At 36.7% G+C, this 24,383-nt stretch overlaps 1 protein-coding gene across 63 annotated transcripts in view, besides 2 other annotated features; it reads right to left on the reverse strand.

The window, feature by feature from the left end:
- ST18 (ST18 C2H2C-type zinc finger transcription factor) overlaps positions 1-24,383 on the reverse strand; it is a 299,042-nt gene that overhangs the window by 128,353 nt on the left and 146,306 nt on the right. For 14 of the 63 annotated variants that reach the window (NM_001352839.2, XM_047422485.1, NM_001352844.2 and 11 more), the window contains exons 1-2: positions 15,060-15,158; positions 7,396-7,474 (exon numbers count right to left, since the gene is read on the reverse strand). The exons of 14 other annotated variants lie outside the window; for them this stretch is intronic. The gene's annotated coding sequence lies outside the window, so the exon portion shown is untranslated. Of the gene's footprint in view, positions 1-7,395; positions 7,475-9,288; positions 9,455-10,167; positions 10,298-15,059; positions 15,159-24,383 lie in introns of those variants that run through there. 35 more of the 63 variants (NR_148195.2, NM_001352834.2, NM_001352858.2 and 32 more) reach the window with 6 other exon arrangements.
- Positions 14,980-16,086: an enhancer, noted in NCBI's record as "VISTA enhancer hs698". NCBI's record gives its function as "enhancer in: neural tube[7/9] | hindbrain (rhombencephalon)[7/9] | midbrain (mesencephalon)[7/9] | dorsal root ganglion[7/9] | forebrain[7/9] | trigeminal V (ganglion, cranial)[6/9]" and the evidence as "EXISTENCE:transgenic organism evidence [ECO:0001131][PMID:17130149]".
- Positions 15,035-15,640: an enhancer, noted in NCBI's record as "NANOG-H3K4me1 hESC enhancer chr8:53166785-53167390 (GRCh37/hg19 assembly coordinates)". NCBI's record gives its function as "activates a minimal SCP1, AML or CMV promoter by ChIP-STARR-seq in naive H9 embryonic stem cells {active_cell/tissue: H9 hESC(naive)}" and the evidence as "EXISTENCE:reporter gene assay evidence [ECO:0000049][PMID:30033119]".

Consider the following 24,383-nt stretch of genomic DNA (forward strand, 5'->3'; position numbering starts at 1 on the left):
ATGGTGCATCTTCCCTTTGGAAGGTGATAGAGAAGGGGTGCAGAGTTTCTTTTTTGTGAAATAAAAAATGTTCTAAAGTTGACCATGGTGATGAATGCAAAACTCTGAATATACTAAAAACCATTAAACTGTACACTTGAAATGGGCAAATTGTATGGTATGTGAATTATATCTCAAGAAAGCTGTTAAGAAAACAGGTGAAACCATACAGATCACAGTAAGGTGCCTGCATGCTGTTTTAAGAATGATAGGCTGCTCTTGGACAGCTTTGAGTGCTGGCATCACACAGGGAAATCAGTTTTTGGACCATGGCAGTCAATTGGGTATGAGAAGATGAGCCTAGATAAGGTGGAGGTGGTAAAGGTGAAGAGAATGCAAGCAGTTGAAGTTCTAACCCCATTATAAAAAAGAAAAATACCAAAAAAACAAAAAGCCACACCAGAAATTAAGAACAGACATGTATCAGCTGCTTGCTATGATCCAAACGCATGACTTTTAACTCCCCAACGTGTGGTCTCTATTAGAGAAGCCAAAGTCTTCCCTCTCTCACGCCTCCTATTCTTTCTTATAGGACCCCAGATGGGAGAACGGTTTCCATTTCCCAACCCCAAACCCCTTTTTTGAGACAGGTCTCACTCTGTCACCCAGACTGGAGTGCAGAGGCATGATCATGGCTCACTGCAGCCTCTACCTCCCTGGCTCAAGCAATCCTCCCACCTCAGCCTCCTGAGTAGCTGGGACCACAAGCAGATGCCAACACACCTGGCTTATTTTTGTATATTTTGTAGAGACAGAGTTTTGTCATATTGTCCAGGCTAGTCTCGAACTGCTGGGCTCAAGAGATCCACCCACCTCGGCCTCCCAAAGTGCTATAATTACAGGCATGAGCCACCAAGCCCAGCCTCCATTTTCCCTTTAGCCTTTCTAATTGCATAAATTGTTTAAGACTGTTTCAAATCCAAGAGAAAAATTGCTAGCTTTTCTGGTTCTCATTAGTCTTTTAGTTTTCTGAGTTTCTATGCCAACATCAATTATATATAATTGATGTATGATAATATAAAATTTGTGTTAGAATATCTTTTTAATTATACCATGTAAATATAATAATTAATAAAAACTAACATGTTAAAGGAACTTGCAGTTTAAAACCATTTCACACTGAGTCTATGGAATTTTGCTACCTTATTATACAGAAAATTTTGAGACTATTAATTCTGAATAGTCTTAACATCTCATCCGTAGGCTTATAAAGGTGTCTCAATCTGCGTGCTTTCCTTCTTTCTTCTGGTTTAACAGGAAGAAAGAGATCCTCTCCTTTCTAAGGATGGGTTCTCCACTGGGCTCACTTTACATTTGTTTCCTATTTCATCTACTTTTTCTTTCTTCCATATCTTAAAACTTTTCTGTCTTCTTATCTCTCCTGGTTCTTTCTCCTCAGCATAGAAACACATTTCTTCTTTATATATTACTATCTCTGTTTTTCAGGGTCAAACTTCTTAATATTCCCAGAGATTTCCTTTCTTTTCTTACCTTGCTTTCACTACACAACTCATGGCCTGCTATCTGGCACATCTAATGGTGCAGGATTTTCAGAGCAACTCACATGATTGCTCAGTCTTTTCCTGAAGAAGCTGCTTATGTCTCTGGTTTATGTCTCACTCTATATATTCTCCTTGGAAACCACACCCAAAGGTGTATTTCTTCATCCCAGGTCTCACTCCTGAATTTCAGATCCACTGATCAGCTGTACACTCAACATCACCACCCGGTTGTCTCTCATTCAATATGTACAAGAAAGGACCCATTATTTTTTCCTCTAAACAACCTCTTCCTTCTGAATCTCCTATCTTGGCTAACCATTCATCTGGTAATCCAAACCAGAAGCCTGTCATTTATGACTCTTTACCAGTTTTCAAATGTATGTCCTGGGCTTGCCTCTCGCATAGGTCCTACTGTACTGTGATTGTCATTTGCTCCTGTCACCTGCATTGGAATAAGCTCCTTGTGTACTTATGTCTGCATCCTCACTTCTTGATTCAGTTGCTGGAACCTGGTCAATGCTCAATATGTTTGTTGAATGGATGGATTCAAGACTCCTTAAATGCCTCTTCTATAAAATCTTCCCTGATGTTTCCTCTAAACAAAGGTGGTCATTCTATTCTTTAAGCCAGAACTTTATTTTTTAGAGGAAAAATAGAATTGGCTATGCCTGGTGAGATGCTCTGGCCCCACATACATTAAGAAGGCTGAGTAGTATAGTGAAACTGCATGTGGCCACAGCCTATTCTGTCTTTGTAGAGGGTGCTGTGCAAACCTGCCCTAGCATGTGAACAACAACCCAGACAAGGTTGGCAGCTTTGCCTACATATCACTTTCTTCTACTGTGGCTCATAAAGTTGTTAGGGGCAGATGGTGTGGCTAATATTCATTGTCTATACTTCTGATACTTTTAGGCTTGTAAATATTTCTTAGTCAACTGATTGCACAGAACCTAAATAACTTGCTCACAATGTTCTAGCTCTGATAGTTACGTTTTTGACTTCACTGTCTTAAAAACTTTAGTACATGAAAAATACAAAATCATTTTAAATCATATTCAGCTGAAATAAAATATTTTAATCTCTTGTGAACATGATGTGGCATCTACCTAGGAGGAGCTATAATAATGTAATTGAAACTCTTCCTTCCTTTTTTTTTTCCATTAGAGGCACAAAACTGGGGAAATTCTTCATTTCTACATGCTTTCTTTTACATAGACAAACATGTATACATTTCTCAATATGTTAAAGTTTCTCTGCTAGGTACTGAGGAGAATAAAATGATTTTAAATACAGTTTCTCTTCTAAGTGATTTTTGTCAACCCTCAATAACTTGACTCTTTTTATTTATTAGTACACTTTCAACATGGCATTTTCAAAAGAATAAAAAATGCTTGCAGATTAATCTATAATAATTTGAGGAAACTATACAAGCATTATAACAGTAACTGCCTAATGAAGATCTAAAATACAAAATAAATATTACAGTGTGTCTAAACATATTAGCAACCTGTAATCTATCTTTTCAAATATATTTTAAAGCAACTGAGCCTTCTTTCAAGTGCAATCTTAGTGACAAGCCCATAGAGTAAAAGCACAGAGGCAGACTGTTGGGTGGCTGCACACCCCCTCTGGGGGCTATGGTGCCTGAGGTTGAATCCAGGCTCTGACCAAGCAGCCCCGGCGCATCACAGGCAAATGGCATGGCTCTCCATGGTGCAGTTTTCTCCATGATAAACAGGGAATGCTAGCTGACCTTACCTTATAGACTGTCGCCTTGGTGACATTGTGAGAATGAAAAGAATTAATAGATATAAAGTACTTAGGTAGCCAGGCACTGTGGCCCATGCCTGTAATCCCAGCAGTTTGGGAAGCCGAGGCAGATTGATCACTTGAGGTCAGGAGTTCAAGACCAGCCTGCCTGGCCAACATGGCGAAAACCCATGGTTTAGTAGAGGTTTAGTAGAAACCTCTACTAAAAATACAAAAATTAGCTGGGGGTGGTGGCAGGCACCTGTAATCCTAGCTACTTGGGAGGGAGACTGAGGCAGAAGATTCACTTGAACCCTGGAGGCAGACGTTGCAGTGAGCCAAGATCATGCCATTGCACTCCAGCCAGGGTGACAAGAGTGAGACTCTGCCTCAAAAAAAAAAAAAATGTACTTAGAAGAGTGGTTGGCTCTATGTCAGTGCTTTTATTATTCTTATTATTGGACAAAAATGTTTTCTGCTTGAGTCTAAAATACTCAGAGGAAGAATTCAATTACCTTATGTTTCTATGTATCTATGTTTATGCTCACAGAGCTAAGATTTCTAGCTATTTGGCCAAATGTTGAACCTTCGATCTAATATGTAGCATCAGAGCTGAAGCTCCTGTGATTCTCAGAACAGTCTACTTCTGATATCAAGGTTAATTGGTGTGCTAAATATACATGTCTTACAGAGGTATAATGAGTGCTTCTCCAGTCTTTGAATTATTTTTCAAATTCATAGGATGTTTTAATTTTAAAAAGTTCATGGAGTTATAGAATTTGGGGGATGAAAATGTCTCCAGGGGTCCCCTAGCATGATCCTTAATGTGACAGATGCTATTAATAAGAAAAATAAAACAACTTGTCAAGTCACTTCATCAGGATCTTTCAACTACTTAATGATATTTAACTATGACTGGAACCCAGGAGTACTTGGGACTCAGTGTCATTTGACACTATATTGCTGACACAGGTTTTTCCTCTCTATTCTGTTCCCAGAGACCTATATCTTAAGGAGAGATTAAGGGAAAGGGTTTGGGGAGCAGTCAGATTTGGGCTCAATCTGGGTTCAAGGCTGGTGACATAAGGAAGGGCATCTTCACATCTCTAGTCAGTGGCTTCATTTGTAAAAATAGGATACAAATGGAATTATTATGAGCATTAAATTATATAATGCATGTAAAGAACTTGACACCATGCCTGGCACAGTGTAAGCACTTCGCAAATGTTAAGGACCATTATTATAATTATTGCCACATATATCATCATTGTTCTGAACAAATTATATGTACAATGTTGGTACCACAAGTTCTTTTTCTCATTTGCCAAACCCTGACATATTTCTTGTCAATGATTTTCCGCAGGGTGATGGGGAGTGTGTGTGAAAGAGAGAAAGAGAGAGGGAGAGAGAGGGAGAGAGAGAGAGCTGTGCACGTGCATGTTTCCATTATTTGACAAAGTCAGGTAGCCCTGGATCCTATGGCTTCTTCAATTCCCCTCAGCTTACTTGCAGTCCCTGTGATAATGGCCTGTGTGCTAACGCTAATATGCAAAACCTGACCCTTGGATCCTCCAGTTGATAAGACTTGATTATGGAAGAAACATTCCCAAGGAAGTAGGGCATTGGGTATGGAACTTCACCAAACTTCAAATGTTTACAGTGGCAAAGACGGGCCATGGTGAGACTGAATGGGAAACCTGGTCAGTACACGATTTATACCAAAATAAAAATGCTTGGAAATTTGACCTTTAAACCAAAAGGTCTCTATCGAAACCCGCACGCTGTTCTATAATCTGAAATCTAAGGCTGGAAGGGTCTTCAATTGAATGTGAGTATTTCAGAAAAATAAATATCAGTGGGATATTCTATTAGTTCTGAAAGTCTAAGTGAAATGTACCTAATTTACCTGTGAAAACCAATGTAAGCAATTTCTGGAAGAGTTTTCTTGTTTGCTCATTTTGTTTAGAGTTGGAACCTGCCTTTCAGGAATGAAATGACAGAGCTATAATCCCTAGGAAAAAAATTCCCAAATACATCACAGAAACTAGGATAATCCTTCATGAAGTCAGAAGCAAAAAAAGAAAACAGAAAATAACTTCCTCTACCATTAAAATAACCACAGCATCCACTCCTATCCCTGTTCTTCCATTTCCCCAGGTCTGACATTCTGCAGATGACCGCCCTTATTTGTCCCTACATGTTTTCCAAAATATAAAAGTGAAATAGAGTCCCAAGGGCACTGTACTTGAAAGGTTATGAGAGTTAGAGAATTTTAACCATGCCTGCCAAACCAGCAGATGGCTTGTGATTATAATTATATGCATCAATAAAACGAATAATCTTTACAAAATTTGAATTTCTACTAAAGTAAGGGATTTAGTAAGCAGATGCAACAGAATGCATTTTCTTTAACCCTTTTGGTATACACTGGTGTCTTTCACACAAAAAAAGATCCAGGACTCCGTAGATAATAGGTTGTATACTCTAATTTTTGCCCCTTTCTAGAGTAGTCATATTGTCAGCCTCAATCTTTTCCTGATTTCATTTACTTCATGAATGAACATATTTCAATCTCACCTCATTTTCACCCTTCAGAATAGCAATGTTAAGACTAATTCTCCACCATTGTTTGATATTTGAAAGAAAATGTAAAAGAGGTAAATACCTTCATTCTAATTCATACCAAGTATACTATAGAAACAAAAGAGCAAACAGTGGACACATCTTTCTATATTATGGTATTCTTTTACAAATTAGATTTTCAATAAATTTTTTTTTGTTTTCATATTCTCTTTAATCTACATTCCAGGAATGAAAATACTGTTTATTCTATTTAAAAAATTAACCATTTCCTTTCAGTTTGCTTCTGCCTGTCATTATAAGTAAGGGTAACTAAGTTTTATCTCATGCCAAACATGAATTCACTCATATTGAAATTGGATATATATATGACACATCTGAAAAAAAGGATGTGGTGAGGTTTACACACTGGCCTTCTGCCATGTTTTCTTCATGAAGGAACCTCAAAATTTAGGGAATTAAGTTAAGCTAGCTTTGTTTACCTTTAAATCTTGGAAGGAGTAGAGAAAATGTACCACAAAAATTTTCATTCTAATTTTTTTATAAAATAGTAATGTAAATATTTTCATAGAATTACCAAGTGTAACTCTTTATTAGAATAGTATCAATTAATATACATTTCACCCAGCAGACCAACAAATATAATATTTAAGAATATTTGGAGAACCTATATTTAGTGCAGATATCTCTAGCACCTTCAAAGTTAGTTGCACTGTATAAATCAAAGAAATTAAAATAGTCTGATCTAAAATGCTCTTATAGTGTTGTAGTTAACTCCACTTAATAGTGTAAATAAGTTACTAATAAAACTTTAAAGGCATTGACATTTTTGCAGGTCATTGCAATTTACCTATGGCCACAAGATATATGAGATCGGAAATTCTCAGCAACAAAATTCTTTCAAGTTACAACTTAAATGTATAGATCAAACCCTAACAGAACAAATGTTCTGAAAAGTTAAACTAAAAGAGTAATACATTTTTGCCTAAAAATTTATAAATTTGATGTAACATTTGACAACACTATATTCAAATACTCGTAAAGAAATTCAGATATCTCTTGAGTTCACTGGAATGGAATTTTATCTCTTAAGATAAAATATTCAGCAATTAACTGGGTTCAAGATTCTTTACATAGGTGATAAAAATAAATAAATTAAATATTTTTCAATTATAATGTCCTTAAAAAGGGAAAACTTAAACCAAATTCAATGTATCAATTAAAAGAAACAATCTAAGCCAAAAAACTTATGAAATAAATCCCAAAAGGGCAAAAAAATTTTTAAAAAACAGAAAGAAGAAAACTGCATAATCTTAAGAGTTAAAGACCTATGCTGTAAATACTTAATTTATAGATGTTGCCTTTCTAAATTAAATGAAATTAAATACTTCTGCTTACAGAGAGTTTAAGTTGAAGTGTAATAAAATTTTTAGGTATGCTTTTGATAGCTACTAATAAAACTCTGCATAATAAGCCAATTTAATCACATATACTTAAGGTATGTTTAGAATTTTTAACATGTTACCTTAGTCTTGATATGAGCACGCAGACACATAAAATGGAATTGTCACAATGCTTCAGGGACACTCACAAAATTGGGGGCTCTGGAAGCGAAAATACGAGAAAGAGTTCTGTACTGGTACAAGCGAATGCACAGGCGGTGTGTGACATGACATTGGCACATCCCCTCGCTGTCTCAAACTGCAAGTGAAAGTTAAAAACACCAAACACAATATGCCAGGGGCATTAGGTATATGATCTTACTTAATTTTTCACATAAGTTATAAGGCAACATTTATCTCCCATCACTCTTGCCCCCATCTAACAGACCAGGAAACCGAGGCGCAGAAAAGTTAGAGAACTTATCCAGGGCACAGACTGAGTCAGTGGAAGAACCAGGTTTCAGATATGTGAACTCAAAAAGGGAGTACTGTAGATTCTCTTGTCACTTTGTCACTCATATGCACTTAGGATGACTGCCTTATTCTCTAGGAAGCATTTTATAGCTCCTCTTAGATGGGGATCCTTAGGGGTGGAAAAGAGGTATTACTAACAGCATCTACTACAGTCCTCTGAACTAAGTATTTTAATATTTATTTGTTAAATGAGTGAATCAGAATAAAAGTCCAGTAATACAAAGTTTCCTTCTGACAACACAAATTAAGTTTCTCAAATTTCTTTAAAGAAGAAAGCTGTCAAGTAGATAAAGCCATGCATATTTTCTTTAAATAAAAAAATATATATTTCAGATGCAAGACCCATATAGGTGGAAACAAGTTTGCATAAACCAAAAGTAATGATCTGGGCCTTCTCATCTTAATGACAATACAGACCTATTCTGTTTTGAAGAATGACAATTACATTTCTGTAAAAGTAACTCCACTCCTTTTCATCCACAGCGATGCAACTAAACGAACTTCAGTCAAGTTTGCACACCCTTTGCTGTACCCGTAAGGATGGGGGCAAAATATTTACAGCCAGCCAAAACAGTTATGTTTTCTGAAACATTCATTCTTGTATTAACAGGAGGAACATTAGCAGCTATAGAAAAATAAATTGTAATACATGAGATTCAAAAATAAAACATTCATCACAGAAAGATAGCCTAATACATTTATAATGCCTGAAAGAGTGAACTAGTTGCACAACTGCCTTAAACTAAATTTGTTAGGCAGCAACTGTAGCCATTTTTAGATGGCTTGCTTTTTCCACGATTTCTATCACATGAAAGGCATAATGATGAGATGACATATTAGAAAAATCTCAACTTAGTAAAATCAAACTCTATTTTCCCCACATACATTTTACTTGAAATTAAAAAGACACTATTATACCACTTTCTTCACAAAATTTATTGCCTCCTAATTTCTGGCTATTGTTAAAACAATACTTAGAGTTGGTAATATACAACATACATTACATTCTCTACAGACACACATATAGTTCTAAACAAATTATATAAACAAAATAAATGTTAGGGGCACATTTAACAGAGGAAAAGTACTTCATGAAAAAAAATGGTAAAGAAGTATGTGACCTCTGATCATCCAGACCATATTATTTACCTATATTATGAATCTTTCACGAATACTACTACTAAGCTATTTATTCAGTATCACAATATTGCTATATCCTTACATAAATAAATATTTTTCAGTATAAGTAATGAAAGTTAGCAAACTGATTTCTACACAGAGTTTTAATTCATGAACTGATGATTATGTCATGCCATTCTAACATTAAATGACAGTGGCTTTAAAATTGAATACTGATACTGATATTATGAACACATCTATTTTAAAACACCACACTTACATTAACAATACTTTTTAAATGTTTTCGATGAGACCTTCAGAGTTTATTAAACCACTGACAACCCACTTAGCGGACAGTTCTGAGAATAAAATATTTAATTTACCTGAATGTCTTGTAACAATATCATCCTCTCTTGAACTAAACATCCTCTGAATACACAAATCTAAGGCAGACAGACATTTCAGCAAGGCAAATAAGACTTTCTGGCAACTTCCTGTTGCCATATTTCTCTCAAAGGATCCTGCAATGTTACACTTCAATCCTGCAAACGCATTTTTCCAAGGGACACAGCAAGCCAATGCTGCTCCAGTGTCAGAAGCTTTGATTTTTTCCCAAGTACAGCAAGCAAATAACCACTAATCCTATTCAATATTACAGATTCACAGTAATGATTCTATTTCCAGATTCAAGAGAAATTAAATACAAGAGGAAAAGAGGAGCTTTTGTTTTCTTGTTTTGTTGTGCTTGATTGGTTGGTTTTTAAGACACTGCTGAAGGAAATAGTTATTCCATCTATGTTATTAAATATATATTAGGGGCTGGGGCAATTTTACATTGTCAAGAATGAACTTCACTGCTCACATGCATGCCCCAGGTTTCCATTATCTTTCAGAAGCAGTAAGACTAACTAAATTTAAAGTTGCCTCATACATTTGAAAGTTTTCAAACCTGAACCAATAACCTGAATGGTAGTTATTGGCAAAAGCACCATTTCTCCAACAAATAGCCTACCTCTCAAATTCAAGTTCACTCGCATTTTGGGGTTTACTCACTTTTTAAATTTACAAACTTTTTTGAAACAGCAAAACAAAACAACAATAACAACAAAATAAGAACACTGATCACTGAAGCGGTATTTCCAGAGGTGATAGCAAAATCCCTTCATTCTGACCTACTTGTGGAGAAACGGACTTTCAGCCCCACGGTTAGGCTAAGATCTGTTCTACTTTCTCCCTAGGGCTTAATTGCCAGACTGACTTACCGGTGCCTCCTAGCCTTTGTTCTGCCTCTCACGCTGACATCAGGGAAGCAGTGATGTAGAATAAAGCAGGGGTGGGCTAGGTTAGTCCAGTGTTTGTGTCGTTGTGTGGTGTGCAGGGACACTCTGTGATACTCTAGTGAGCTGCTAAGCTTTTTTTGTAGGCTTTGTGTCATTTACTTAACGACCAATCTCATTAGCTGCCAGGGTACAATGGGCTGATGCATTTTCTATGTACATACTCCACACAGTGACCCTCAAGGTTGCCGAAGGTCTATTTAATCAGACAAATGCTGAATATATTTGCAGTAAATCACTAAAAAAATAAAAAAAATTAGAATACTGAGGTATCTTACGGGCTTAATATTTCCTGGTGGTTATTTGCAGGTAATAAAATACATGCATATTTAGCCCAAACAACGATAGAGCAGGTGGAGATGAATTGTCTGGTTTGCACTGGTGACCTTAATTTTAGGAAACTTTCAGATCAAAGATATTTTCTCTTAGCAAGGAGCCCAGATTTGAAATTTAATTTCTGTCTTAGTTTAATCATATTAGCACAACAAAAAAGAATTGCTTTCTTGAGCAGTTTCTCCTTCCTCCTTCCTCCCCCCGACCCCAGCCCTACCCCCTACCCAAGCAGCCTCAGACCTGGCAAAGTTGCATTTATGCCCTCTTTCAGTTACAAGGTAAAAACCCTTTTAACTCCTATGAAAAATGAAATGCTGAGAGCACTATGAATGACGACAGCTGTCCATAAGTATCAGAGAGAGTTCTATTGTCCAGCTTGTCCCTGGATAAAATGAATACTTTACAGCAGAGGCTGTTCAGCTTGGCTAAAGAGTGTGGGGAGAAGGGGAGGAGGTCACTGGAGATTTCGCACACTAATTTAATCTGGGAAAAGGACAGGCTCTGCATCTCCCTTGAACAGACTGGCAGCAATCTGGGCCCCCACAGAACTATCTCCTTTTGCCTGTGCTCTATTTATTCCTTATCTCTGTTTACCAACCGCTAGGTCCCTTTCATTCACACCACGAGGCCGTTTTCCTACTATCAGTCAGCAGCTGACACTGTGGAAGAGCCTCAAAGGCAAAAAAAAAAAAAAAAAAAAAAAAAAAAAAAAGATCAAAACTAAACCAAAGCTGTATAAACAATGCCACAGTACAAGTAAATGCATAAACCCTGATTCTTAACCCAACCCACAGGGTGCAAACAGAACCTTTATAGTAAATCCAACAAACCCACCACAGTGAGCTGTGGGCCGCAGAGAAAGAAAAGTCAAAACACCATTCATGAAATCACCATCCAAAAAAAAAAAAATTGCTAAAATGTACACTGGCTACTGAAGCAGCCTTACTTTCAGGGATATTCTTATCTTTATCATAGATCAATTAACTGGCCACCAAGAGATATTTACTTTGCTGGGAAAGGTGAGCTATACATTTCTAAGGGAGGCCTGGCTCTCATTAAAATGCCAGCAGTTAAAAAAAAATCCTCCAATATGATTATAAGCTAAAGAGGAGGAAGAAACACCAACTTTTCCAACACCTTATCACATTGATTGAGTTTAAACAGTTCAAGACTCTTGGTATTAAACCCCCATTATTTTTATGTAAAGATACTAAAAAGTCCTGTACAATCCAGCCAATGAAATCTTTTCTTCATGTCTTGTGGATTTTACCTCCTTATGTCAAAATGATTAACGTGGCAGAGAAGTTGGGAGAAGACTACTTCCTGGACAACTTTTTAATATTTTGAAGCACTCTGCAGGGTGTGATCAAAAACGGAGATTGGAGCAACTAGTTTGAAGTGTGGAAAGAGGAGAAAATAAAATAAGTGTTTTTTGAACCTTGAAACCTTTGGGGAAATATGAATCTTGAAAACTTTACTTACATTAATGTTAAGTGCTAAATACTTACCTCAATATTTCAACAAATGGGAAAAGCCTTGCTTAATATAAACATTTCTTTGAAGTGATTCAGAATTTGTATATAATATATATGTGTATGTATAGATGTATATATATGAATATATTATAAGCATAGGTATACACACTGCCTCCCATATACACATACACAAAATGAGAAGTGCATAATTTCTAATGCCTGGAGTTTCTCAGATTAAAAACTGAGATTTACTTTAAATTTCCCTGAGTTTTTTAAATCATTGAAGTGATTGGGAATGATTGGTTATTGTCATAAAAATCAACACCGCATTGACTCAATCACTAAGATCTTTACCAGTAAAAGGAAAGACAATGCAGCTCATTATCTAGAATGATCAATTGGTCCAGATTTCAGTTTGTGTTTTCACCTATATGCATTATGAGCAATGAAGTCTTTACTACTTGGATCCTTTTTTCCAAATGAATTAATGAATTAAATTTATCCTTTCACCAGCTGCTAGGCAGCAGATGGAACCATTTCTGAAGCCTTGTTGAATTCAATCCATAAAACTCATTTCCTAGGATTAGCCGTCCAAAGTTTCTTTTAATGTTTATATACCGCTTGGGATTTTGAATTTCATGATGTTAAACTTTCAATTTAACTATTCTTTTTGCATTTCATATCAAACAATTATGATCTTTTGGATTTCTATAGCAGACATGGCAGGTCACATAAGGACAAGAATTAATTTCAAGAGCAATAAAGTCACGCAAGTTATATTTTTTTGATATGTTTGTTCACATTGCTCTACTACCATAGAAACTATTTGCAATGAACTGTTGTCAACCTAAAGAGTTATATATTTAATAGCTATAAATTTTGTTTATTTATGCATACATAGTTTAAAGCTGCAACTGGAAACATTCATTAACATTGTGAAAGCTTAAAGTTATACTGGGTTTTGCAATTTGGTTATAGGAGTAAGGTTGTTACTTACTGCAAGTAAGATTGTTAATTATCTGCAAATAATTTCTGTATCTACCAGGTTAATTTATCTAATGAGAATTTAATTCTGACTTTTAAAAATGGAAATAAAGACAACTATTCAGAGTATGTATGTTAACTTTTTAAGGAGGCAGCTACCATGGACAGCTCCTAACATTTCTGGTCTTTTCTAGGTCACTTGCAGTTGTCTAATTTAAGAGAAACCAGGAAACTTCAAATCTTACTGGTTCATGTTATAGTAGAACACTAATGGCCACTCTAAAAAAAAAAACTCCTTTAAACATAATCACATTAGGATCTCATAAAAGTTTCAATGTACTTTGAAACGTTTTAAATACAACCACCTTACGCTCTCCAAGGTACAGTATATCCAAATTTAAAATATAAAAGCTTTTAAGCTTAAAATGATGCTCCTACCATAACATAAATACAACTAAAAAAGAGTGAATCGCTTTTATGTGCAACAGTGATTTCCGCTAATTTGGCAAGAGAAATCTATATTAATCTAATATTGTAGTAAGCCAAGAAGGCCACATAATAATCACCACTGAGTAATTGAATATTTAGAAGAAGGAGAAAAGAGAACACTGGTAATCTTGGGTTACAGGCATACAAGTAGGATACCAAGCAGATGATATTTGCAAAGAAAAATAAAAAAGCAAAGTTAGGGAAGCCTAATTTTAGTCTTACTTTGGATTCTGAATTTGATTATTGCCTGGAACTTATTTACTATTTCCCTAACATAACGATAGTGCACAGAATTATATTCAACATTTCTTCATCAGTTTTTTTTTTTCTTTTTAGTGTATTGGATTTTGCAGTATTAGCTGTGGCATGAGAGTTGATAGAACTTTTTTTTCTGACAATTAGCTACTTTCTTATTTGGAAAATTAAGATTATAGAAGTTACAGTGCATACTTCGACTGCTGACTGCCTTGTTCTTTGAAACTGAAAAACACTCCAGTTATTTCCACATGTATCAAAGTAAGCACCTATAATAAAAGCTTTATTAAAACAAAAGGAATATGAGGCAAAGTATTGTTTATCAAAGGTTTTGAAATTTTTCTGTATAACTAAGTAATATTTCATTGAAATCATCCTTCTGCAAAATTTTGTCCAAGGTTAGTATTTTCTCTTTCATTCTTCAGCCCTTCTGGTATTATTTATTCTTTAACTTTCTGATGAGTCTTCTGACATCTACATTTATCAAAAATGAACAGTATCGTTTTTATAGGCTACTCTTATCCAATTCTCTAAATATTTAAAGACAAAATTATAACTACCATACTTATCAATTTAAATTTCCTGGGGACCTCCCACAAACTCTTTTCCTTATGTATAGCTACTATCAGAATTTTGACTTTTCAAAAAGCATACATAAAACATCTTTTTAATATTGGTTATTCATATACAATTGTGTTAACCTCTCATCCCTCACAAAGATCTCCCCAATTCTAGAGAGATGTCAGATTTGGGATCTCACTGGTAATTTTTGCAATCTCATAAATTATTTCTGCTTTACTTTTTTGCTAAGCAAAAAGTGTACTAAGTCTCATTTCATATCAAATAGTCTCTCTTGCAAATTTGCACGTTTCAAAAATCTATATGAACAAAGGCGATACTGGTGCAGTATAAATGTAATTGCACCATGACATTTTATTCTGAAATTCTTCTCAAAACAGATACAATACGCTTTTTTGTTTTTGCCAAAGAGAGTGAAAGTGTGAGAGATTGAGAGAGAGAGAGAGAGAGAGAGAGACAGAGAGAAATACATTTAAAATAATGCTCAAATATACATCACAACAGACATCAGAAACAGAAGTTCAAAACAAACATCAGAAAAACCATCAACACAGTTCTAAACTTCAACCTTTGCTAACATCCACCCCCCCTCCAAAAAAAACAAAAGTGAATGTTATGACTTAAGACCTAAAAACTTGCTAAAATTCCGAGTGGCTTAAATGTCAGTGTGAGCAGCATGCGGTTCAAAAGTTTTAAACTTACTTTTTTGTTTGTTTCCAAAACTTATATTTCTCTCCTCCCTGGTGGGCTGAACGGAAACACTAAAGCTGTTTCTTTGAAAGGTAGTTCCCATGATATGACATCCAGTGCCTTTGACTGCTTAGAGATAAGCACCTGCGTTTGTGTCCCCTCCTTACGTCACACCTCCCTATTCAGACCTTCTCAATATGATTCACATTTGCACATCAACAGCCTCATGCGCATACACAGATTTTTTTCGGCTCTGGGCCCAAAACTTTCACTTTAATTTTCATCACATGATTGCTGTGGCATATGTCCTTCCAAACCTCCCATATATCAGTCATCATGCAAATGAGATGGAATATCACTCCTCTGCAGCAGATGGCCAGGGATGATAACAATGGCTCAACAGAGGAGATTCAATGTCCCTGACTTTATCGCCACGGCAACAACAACCTAAAATATATGTAATGGAAGTGGTGCTTATTAATTTTGCAGGCTCGAGTGTTCTGATTTTGTGAGTGAATGGGCTGAGTTAAAAAGGGGGCTGTGTCCTCCTGCCTCTAGAAGACTATCTATAAAAGCCAGGGACCTGGAAATTATTTTCAGTGACTAAGAAGGCAACAGCCTAGCAATTATTTGAGTAATTAGGTGTAATTCCTCCCTGTAGGCCTTGTACCCTCCTGTGCTTGCTTCACAGAAGCTCACGAATTAGACAGGCACAGATACTGAAAAGAAAAGTGCCTCAAGATACAGCGGGAGAGCTTGCAGGGGCCCTGTCACTTGGCCTCCACCAGGCTTGGTAAACACAAGCCCCAAGCTATAAGTAAATAGAGGCCCCACTTCACAAACACAGACCAATTAAAATGACAAAGGCAACCACACTTCTGGGTGGAGCTTAGTAAAGCTTTATGCTGCACTAGATTCCATGTGAGTGGCACACAGAATGGTCTCTGTGCGGCCCGGAGTGCTCTATTTCCATGACTGGCTGTCGGGATTGGACACTTGCTCGCAGGTCTCTGCAGGTTATGCTGCTCTCACAGGGAATTTTTTCATGGGGCTACTTTTTCCCCTGACTCCAAGTGGACATTTGATACCCTTCCCACTCCTAATAGTATTTTTAAAAATTAAGTAATGGAAAAGGCAGTCTATCCTCCCAAATTTGCCACAAGCCCTTTTACGTCTTAAAGGAATGACTGTCAAACGGCCCAAACCAGTGGGAGCTTCTGTGAAACATGCAAGGAAGAAAAATTGAGTGAAAAACCTTGTCTCCAAATATTTTCCTGAAAACTGTTTTGAAAACACCCTCTACAAGACTTTTCATACTAACCAATATAAAGATTTAATTTTTTTCTGCTGGTAGGGCTGAACTACATATTAACATTTTTAAAACTTCAAGTCTACTTATTTTTCATTGCTTTTAAGAAAACCACCATGGAAGTATCATCTTATAAGAGCAAACTCTACTCTGTGTCCATTAGAAAAAAGACATGAATAAGAATTTATTGCCTTAGAAGAGAATAGCTGTGAAAATCAAAAAGGAATTCAAACATTTTCATGTCCTTTCAACATTCAATAAATCTCAGACACTGTTCAAGGCTCTCTACAGACGAGGAACGTGAGAGAAAAGATCTCAGTCTTCTCTTGCAGCAAGATCTAAATAAATTGTTCAAGGTCCCTTGGCCCATTGCTCCCTCACAGTGTTTTGGTTTTTTGAGAGGCACCTTGACCCCCACTCCTTTCTGGCTGGCCCCAGCTTTCTTTCCCTGGAGTTCATTCCTTCCAAGGAACAGGAAGCACAGGAGAGGGAGCGGAGCCTCCTAGCCTGTGAGGCTAACTTCCTCCAAGTCTATATCCATCAAAACAAAGCCAGTCCATCACTTGCTTAAATGGGGTGCAACACTACATGCTTTACCAACTGACTTTAAAAATAGTTATCTTTCCCATGGGAGGGACTGTATGCACGCAGATTCACTTTCCTTCCTAGCATGTGGGCTAATATCAGTTCATCAATGTTTTGCAATACATTTGGCATTGTGAAGAATATAATTGCCTAGTGCAAAATTTCATTGTGCTATTTAAAGGTGATACTCCAACGCAAGGACAAATTTGGAGCAGCAAATGTCCAATCTGGTTTTTTGTTTGTTTGTTTTGAGAAGGGTCTCCCTCTGTCACACAGGCTGAAATGCAGTGGCACAATCACAGCGCACTGCAGCCTCGACTTCCTGGACTCAAGCGATCCTCCTGCCTCAGTCTCCCAAAGTGCTGGGATTACAGGTGTGAGTCAGTGCGCTCCGTCATCTAATCTGAAAATTCCCACACTAAGAGTGTACAGAGAACTTAATCTCCACATGAAATGAATCCCTATACTGAGCTATCAGCAATAGCATTAGTGAACCAATACATGAGGCAAATGTGGTTGCCACAGATACAGTGTGGTGACAACATGGATTTCTAGCTGACAGTTCAGTCATCTGGTCAATTTTTGTGACTTTAATGAATATCATTATCATAGAAATAAAGTCACCTAATAATAGGAATTAAAAATAATAGCTCTTTGGGACATAAATGACATACCATACTATTCACCTATTTAAAATATATAATTAAATAACTTCTAATATATTCATAGTTGTGCAACTTGTTAGCAAGATTTTAGAACATTTTCATCATTCAATGCCAGAAATGCCATACTCATTAGCAGTCATTCCCCATTCACCAAACTTCCACCCACCAATTCCCTCCCTCTCACCCAGGCAACCACTGATCTATTTCCGTCTTTGTAAATTTGCCAATTTTGGACATTTTATAATAATGGAATCATATAATATGTTGTCCTTTATTACTGGCCTCTTTCACTTACCACAATACTTTCAAGGTTTATCCACATTGTAGCATCTATCGGTACTTTATTTCTTTGTATTACTGATTAATATTCTATTGTTTGGATATACCATATCTTATTTATCCATTCATTGATTGATGGACACTTATACATAAGGCTACTATAAACATTCATGTACAAGTGTTTGTGTGGACATATGTTTTTATTTCTCTTGAATAACTACTTAGAAGAAGAATTGCTGGATCATTTGGTAATCCCTATATTTAATTGTTTGAGGAACTGCTAAATAGTTTTTCAATGTGCCTGCACAATATACCTTTCCCCCAGCAGTGTATAAGAGTTCCAATTTCTCTCTATCCTCACCAACACTTTTTATTGTCTATCTTTTCTATTATGGTTGTTTCGGTGGGTGTGAGGTGGCATTGCACTGTGGTTTTGATTAGCATTTCCCTAATGACTAATGACACTAGCATTTTTTTCATGTGCTTATTGATTATTTGTATATCTTTTTTGGAGAACTGTTTATCCAGAGCTTTTACCCAGTTTTAAGTTGGGTTATTTGTCTTTTCATTATTGAGTTGTAGATGCTCTTTCTATATGTATTCTAGATACAAGTTTCTTATCAGATATAGAATTTGCAAAACTTTTCTCCCATTGTGTGGGCTGTCTTTTCACTTTGATGTTTTCCTTTAAAACACAAAGGTTTTTATTTTGATGAAGTCCAATTTATATGTTTCTTTAATTATTTGTGCTTTGGTGTCATAGCTAAGAAACTATTGCCAAATTCAATGTCACAAAGATTACATCTGTTTTCTTCCAAGAGTTTTAGAATTTTAATTCTTACATTTAGGCTTTTTATTCATTTTGAGTTAATATTTGCATATGCTGTGAGGTAGAGATCCAACTGCATTCTTTTTCATGTGAATATCCAGTTGTTCCAGCAACATTTGTTGAAAAGTATATTCTTTCCCTATTGAACTGCTTTGACACCTTGTTGGAAATCCATTGATGGTAGACATGGGAATTTATTTCTAGACTCTCAATTCTATTTCATTGATGTACATATTTATCTTTATGCCAGTACCACACTGTCTTGATTACTGTAGTTTTGTAGTGAGTTTTGAAATTGGGAAGTGTGAGTTCTCCAACTTTGTTCTTCTTTTCCAGGATTGTTTTGACTATTATGGGTCCAGTGAATTTCTATATAAAACTTAGGATCAACTTGTCAGTTTCTGAAAAAAAGCCATCTGGGATTTTGATAGGGTATGTATTAAATCTGTGCATCACTTTGGGTAGTATTGCCATCTTGCAAGATTACAACTTCTAATCCATGAACATGTCTTTCCATTTATTTATTTTGACTCTTAAAAATTTCTTTCAACAATTTTTTATGGTGTTCAGAGTTAAGGTTTACACTTCTCTTGTTAAATTTATTCCTAATTGTTTTATTCTTTTTTAAGCCATTGTAAATAAAATTGGTTCCCTATGTTTATATCTTGCAGCCTTGCTAAACTTGGTTCTTAGCTCTACATAGCATTTTTAGTGGGTTCCTTGGGATTTTCTAAATACAAATCTGTATGAAAGATCATGTCATCTGCAAATGGAAATACTTTTGCTACTTCCTTTCCAATCCAGATGACTTATATTTCTTTTTATTGCTGGACTGTCTTGGTTAAAAACCCCAATATAGAGTTGAAGTGGCAAGAGCAGACACCATTGTTTTGTTCCTGATTTTATGGGGAAATACTTTGGTGTTTAGCATGATATTAGCTAATTTTGGAATTTTGAAAGCTCAGCTTAAAAGCATTTTCAACTTAAAAAGCTAACTGCTTTCTGGCATAGTAACCTGCCCTACATTGGTGTAACCCCTAGGGAGACCAAAAACAAATCCTCTACTCTAAAATTTACAAGCCTCTTGTGTGAGACCTGTCATGGTGCTGGCCAGACCTCATCCCTAGCTGTCCCTCTAAAACCTGCTGAGACACAGCTAGAAGAGCCTGACACAGGGCATTCATTCTCTCTAGATTGGGCTATCTTGGTGACTCAGAGCATCCTTGAGGTAGTCAGTAACAGCCTGGCAGGGCTAAGTGGCAGAGTTTCCCTTTGAATACTTCAGGTTCTCATAGCAAGGGTCAACTGGACCCCAAGCTCAGTGATGCTGGAGAGGCCAAACTGCAAGTTTGACTTCTGGGTCTTCCATCTGTCATGCCAGCATTTGTAACATACTCAGTCAGATTCAGGTGTAGGCAGCACACCTAAATTCCATCTGTTGCCTGGGATTAAACCAATCAACCGCTAGACATAAGTTTATTGCCTGCCCACTTCATACTTGCAATATTTAATCTCTACATGTAGACTCTGGGTAATTCCTGGATCTATTTGCAAAAGTAGTTATATTTATAGTCAATAAGATGTATCAAAGTAAAATCAGGTATTATTAAAACCATAAAATCAAATGACATTTTGATAATGAATGAAAGATGATAAATGATTCCCTGTTATAATGATGATGATGATGATGATAACGATTATATTAGCAACAGTAATGGTAGCTAAGACTTATTCTAGTGCTTATATTATGCCATGCGCTGTTCTGAGTGCTTTTCATGGGTTAATTAGGAAGCAGAGGCACTCTTCCAACTAACTTTTCCCAGTCCAAACCATTAGCCATTGAGCTAGAATTCAGACTCAGATGGTTTGTCACAGACTCCATGCTCTTAACCACAAGGCAATACTGTGAATTTCACTTATATCTACACATCCTACCAGACCAGTAAAAACCAACATGGATGTGATGAGGAAACTCTCCAGTGAATTTTTCAGTGACCCTTTTCTTTTCTTTTATCCTTTGTCATTTTTTATAAGAAATTTATACCAGTAAAAAAGGTTTCTAATGTTGCATCTTATAAACTTTTACAAAGCTGTTATCATCTAACATAGTGAAGTTTTCTTCAAATTGATGTCATCAGTAAGAAACCTTACCTATTTTTCTTTTAGCCAGTGATTCGCTCCATCAGGAGAATGAACGTGAACACTAAAATGAACATGGACATAATCTAAAATGAATATGAACACTAAAACATAGTTTACAATAAGGCCAGGAGTAAGTTATTTGCTGAGGAGTGTGGTGTATCTATGTATATTTCTATACCTGTATGTATCTCTATACCTATACCTATGCCTACACCTATGGCTGCATCTATATTTGTCTGTCTATTATGTCTATATTTATATCTTTTCAATATGGCTTTCATATCAGATGGATAAAGTTCTTGTTCTTCACAAAGCAACTGAATTATATATGGTCCATGCATTTGGTACACAGCTCAATCACTCTGTCTTGTTCTTATTTATCATGTGACATGTGGCATCACCAGCTGCATGAAATCTGGCTGAAGATTCCTTTGCACACTTTATATGCCTGATGAAGTGAAACTTTAGATCATGGACTGTAGGTGATCTGAAAGGGTTCCTGAAGTGTTCAACTACTTCATTCCTCAGCCCTCTTACTCCCTCTGGATCACATTACTAGAGCTGGAAGCCCAGCACTGGGCACACACTGGGCATGTGTAAGTCATTCTAGCTCCACAGGTCGGTAATTTCTCATTTCTATGCACACTTCCTTCTTCTATACACATACACACACTGCAATTTTTTTCTATTTAGATTGATTTGTCTTAAACTAGTTTATTCCCCTCTTTACAGAAAGGCAAGTAAGGCTTATAATGATTCCGCTTAGAAAAAACCCCACATTTCCTGGACAGATAATTTAAGTTCCAAGTTGCCTTCTAGCTGTGATTTGACATAGTAGACCACAATGTCTCAAACAAAGGATTCTCTGCAGCTTCCACAATTAGTTTTGTAAATGTGTTTGAAATAAGTGTCTTCATGACTGAATAGTTGGCATTTAACACAACAAAAAGAAAAGACAGAGCAAAAGAGGAAGGATGGTTTCAAAATGGCCCAAGCAAAACCAACAAGCCTGTTGGCCAACACTCTGAATGTCCTGGGATTGGAGGTGAGGATGATATGCCGTGCTGATGCTCAGCTGCTGACACTGACGGCTAAAGAGGGAAGAGAAAGAGAAAACTCACATAAATAAATCATTTGCAAAGACTTTTAAAATGGGTGAAGTGTTTCCAGAGTTCACACAATATTTTTCTTACACTTTGCTGAACAGACATCATGACCAGGGGCTATTTTGGCCCTAATCCCAGGAAATGAGGCAAAGATGATAAATGATGTGATTTGGGGGACTGTCTTGGATTTGGTGAGTCTCCTGTCATTCACTATTCATCTCTGCTCTACACCATGGTTAAGAGCTTTCAATCCTATGGAAATGTTCAGTTTGTTAATGAGAATGCTCACCATTTCACTGCTGTAGGATTCAAGACCCTTTTTCATTCTCCTTGCTTGTTCTATGTTAACTTCAAAATATAAACTTTCTCAATCTTAGCAGGATAATCAGATTTTACGATTCTGGTTCTATTGAGTCACTGACTAGTTACTGTGCTGAGAATTACTTCTCTATGCTTCCAGTTTGGTTTCTATAACACATCTACCCATTCAGGGCCCTGAGGTTCAAACAAATCTTTAAGCATTCCCACAGCTCCCCACATCCCTTTAAAAATGTCTGTAACTACCTTTCCAACCCTATTTCCAAGGCTTTGTCCCAACATTTCATCCTCCATTATCTGGGCTTTTAACATATCCCAGGACCGAGTCTTTCTAAAAGCCCCAGAGAAATGTGTCTCATTCCAGGTCATCCTATTCCCAGCCTTCAGTATTATTTTTCTAAAAAGGAAATTCAGTGATCCCCATCCTGATGGCTTTCCTTTTCTTCCTGACAAACAATTAGACTATGTTTCCAACTGTCTTACTCAATTTTCTGTTGCTATAAGAGAACACCACAGATTGGGTACAAAGTTTATTAAGCTTATGGTTTTGCAGACTGGGAAGTCCAAGAGCGTGGCACCAGCATCTGCTCAGCATATGTTGAGGGCCTTCTTGCTGTGTCAAAACATGATGAAAGGATGCAAGGGGAAGAGCATGTGTGCAAAAGAGAGACCTTGCTTTTAAAACAAAGCCACTCCAGTGAGAACTAATCCACTCTTGCAATAATGGAGTTAATCCATTTATGGGGGTGGAGCCCTAATGATCCAATTGCCTCTCAAAGGCCTCAACTATCATCACCATCACAGTGGCAACCAACTTTCCAACACATAAACTTTTGGGGTGCGCATTCAAACCATAGCACTGACACGCCTTTGAAGTTAGGTGTGGGTCTGTGCCAAGGCAGTGCAGCAGTATATGTATATGGAACTTCTAGTATGGCAGTAAAACCCTCCCAAACAAAATCTGTAAGCTTTATTCCCTTCTACCGACTTCACAGGACGACCTCCAAAGCCACATGTTGAAGATGGCAGAGCTCCAGTGAATCTGAGTCCTGAATGACTATGTGTACCAAAGCACACAACTTTCCTCACAAAACAAGAACGCTTAAGACTATTTACATGACCAAGAAATGAACTACTTTTGTGTTTGTGTCGTTGTACATTTTTTCTGCTGATTTCTAATAAAGCTAATATTACCCAAATAAATACATCTCCTATGTAAGAGTCTTTTTCACCTGTAAGATTAAGTCTGAATTTCTAAGTACCATTTGAACTTTCTCTGTTTTGCCCAAGGCTGCCTTTGCAGCTGCCTTACCTCCTACTCGCTGCACACAGACTGCATTGTTGACTTCCCTCCATTTACTGAAGGCATCATGCTCATTCTAGCCTGGGAAAAACTTTATTTAATCTTTAGACATCATTTGCAAGGCATAAGTGACTGTCTCCCAGAAAACTCTTATCAAAAGGGGCCAAAACTTTTTCCACTGCTCAACTCAGCCTGTTACAAAGGTTGCTGTTTTTCTCCTGAAGCCCACATCTGTGGAGCCACCTCGACTGAAGTTGTGCCTCAGTGCTTCTGTGAAGGGCTTCTACTGTCTGCTTGGCTTTTAGTTGTCCCACTTTGAATTCTCACAAAGAGCAGTTTAAATATAGTGCTGGTTTCCATTTCCCACTCACATCCAGATTAGAGAATGATCAGTGATTATCACATTGCAATTTGAGAAGACTTTATTCTTCTGGCATGTACAGAGAGGGTGTGGTTGCTCCTGGGCTCCTCCATCTAAACCATCTCCCAGGTAGATATACAGATAGCTCAAGATACTTCACGCTTTGCAGAGAAAACAAGCTACCTACATAATCCCAAAATGTTAAAATAGATCTATAAACCATTGACATTGGAAGATTTTGAAGTTATCAAATGCAAGTGCTTACCCAGACCTGAATTTCACAGAACATCTCTGAAAAGGATGTACTCAAGTGACTGTGGAGGACATCAATTCTATCTATTAGCATGGCACTCTGAGTGCCAAGTGTTGTTCCTCATTTTTAACTATTGTTATGATCAATATCTTGGTGTTCTCATTTTTCTGTGTATATTTAATACTA

Source organism: Homo sapiens, chromosome 8 (assembly GCF_000001405.40).
Source record: "Homo sapiens chromosome 8, GRCh38.p14 Primary Assembly".
NCBI classification, from domain to species: domain Eukaryota; kingdom Metazoa; phylum Chordata; class Mammalia; order Primates; family Hominidae; genus Homo; species Homo sapiens.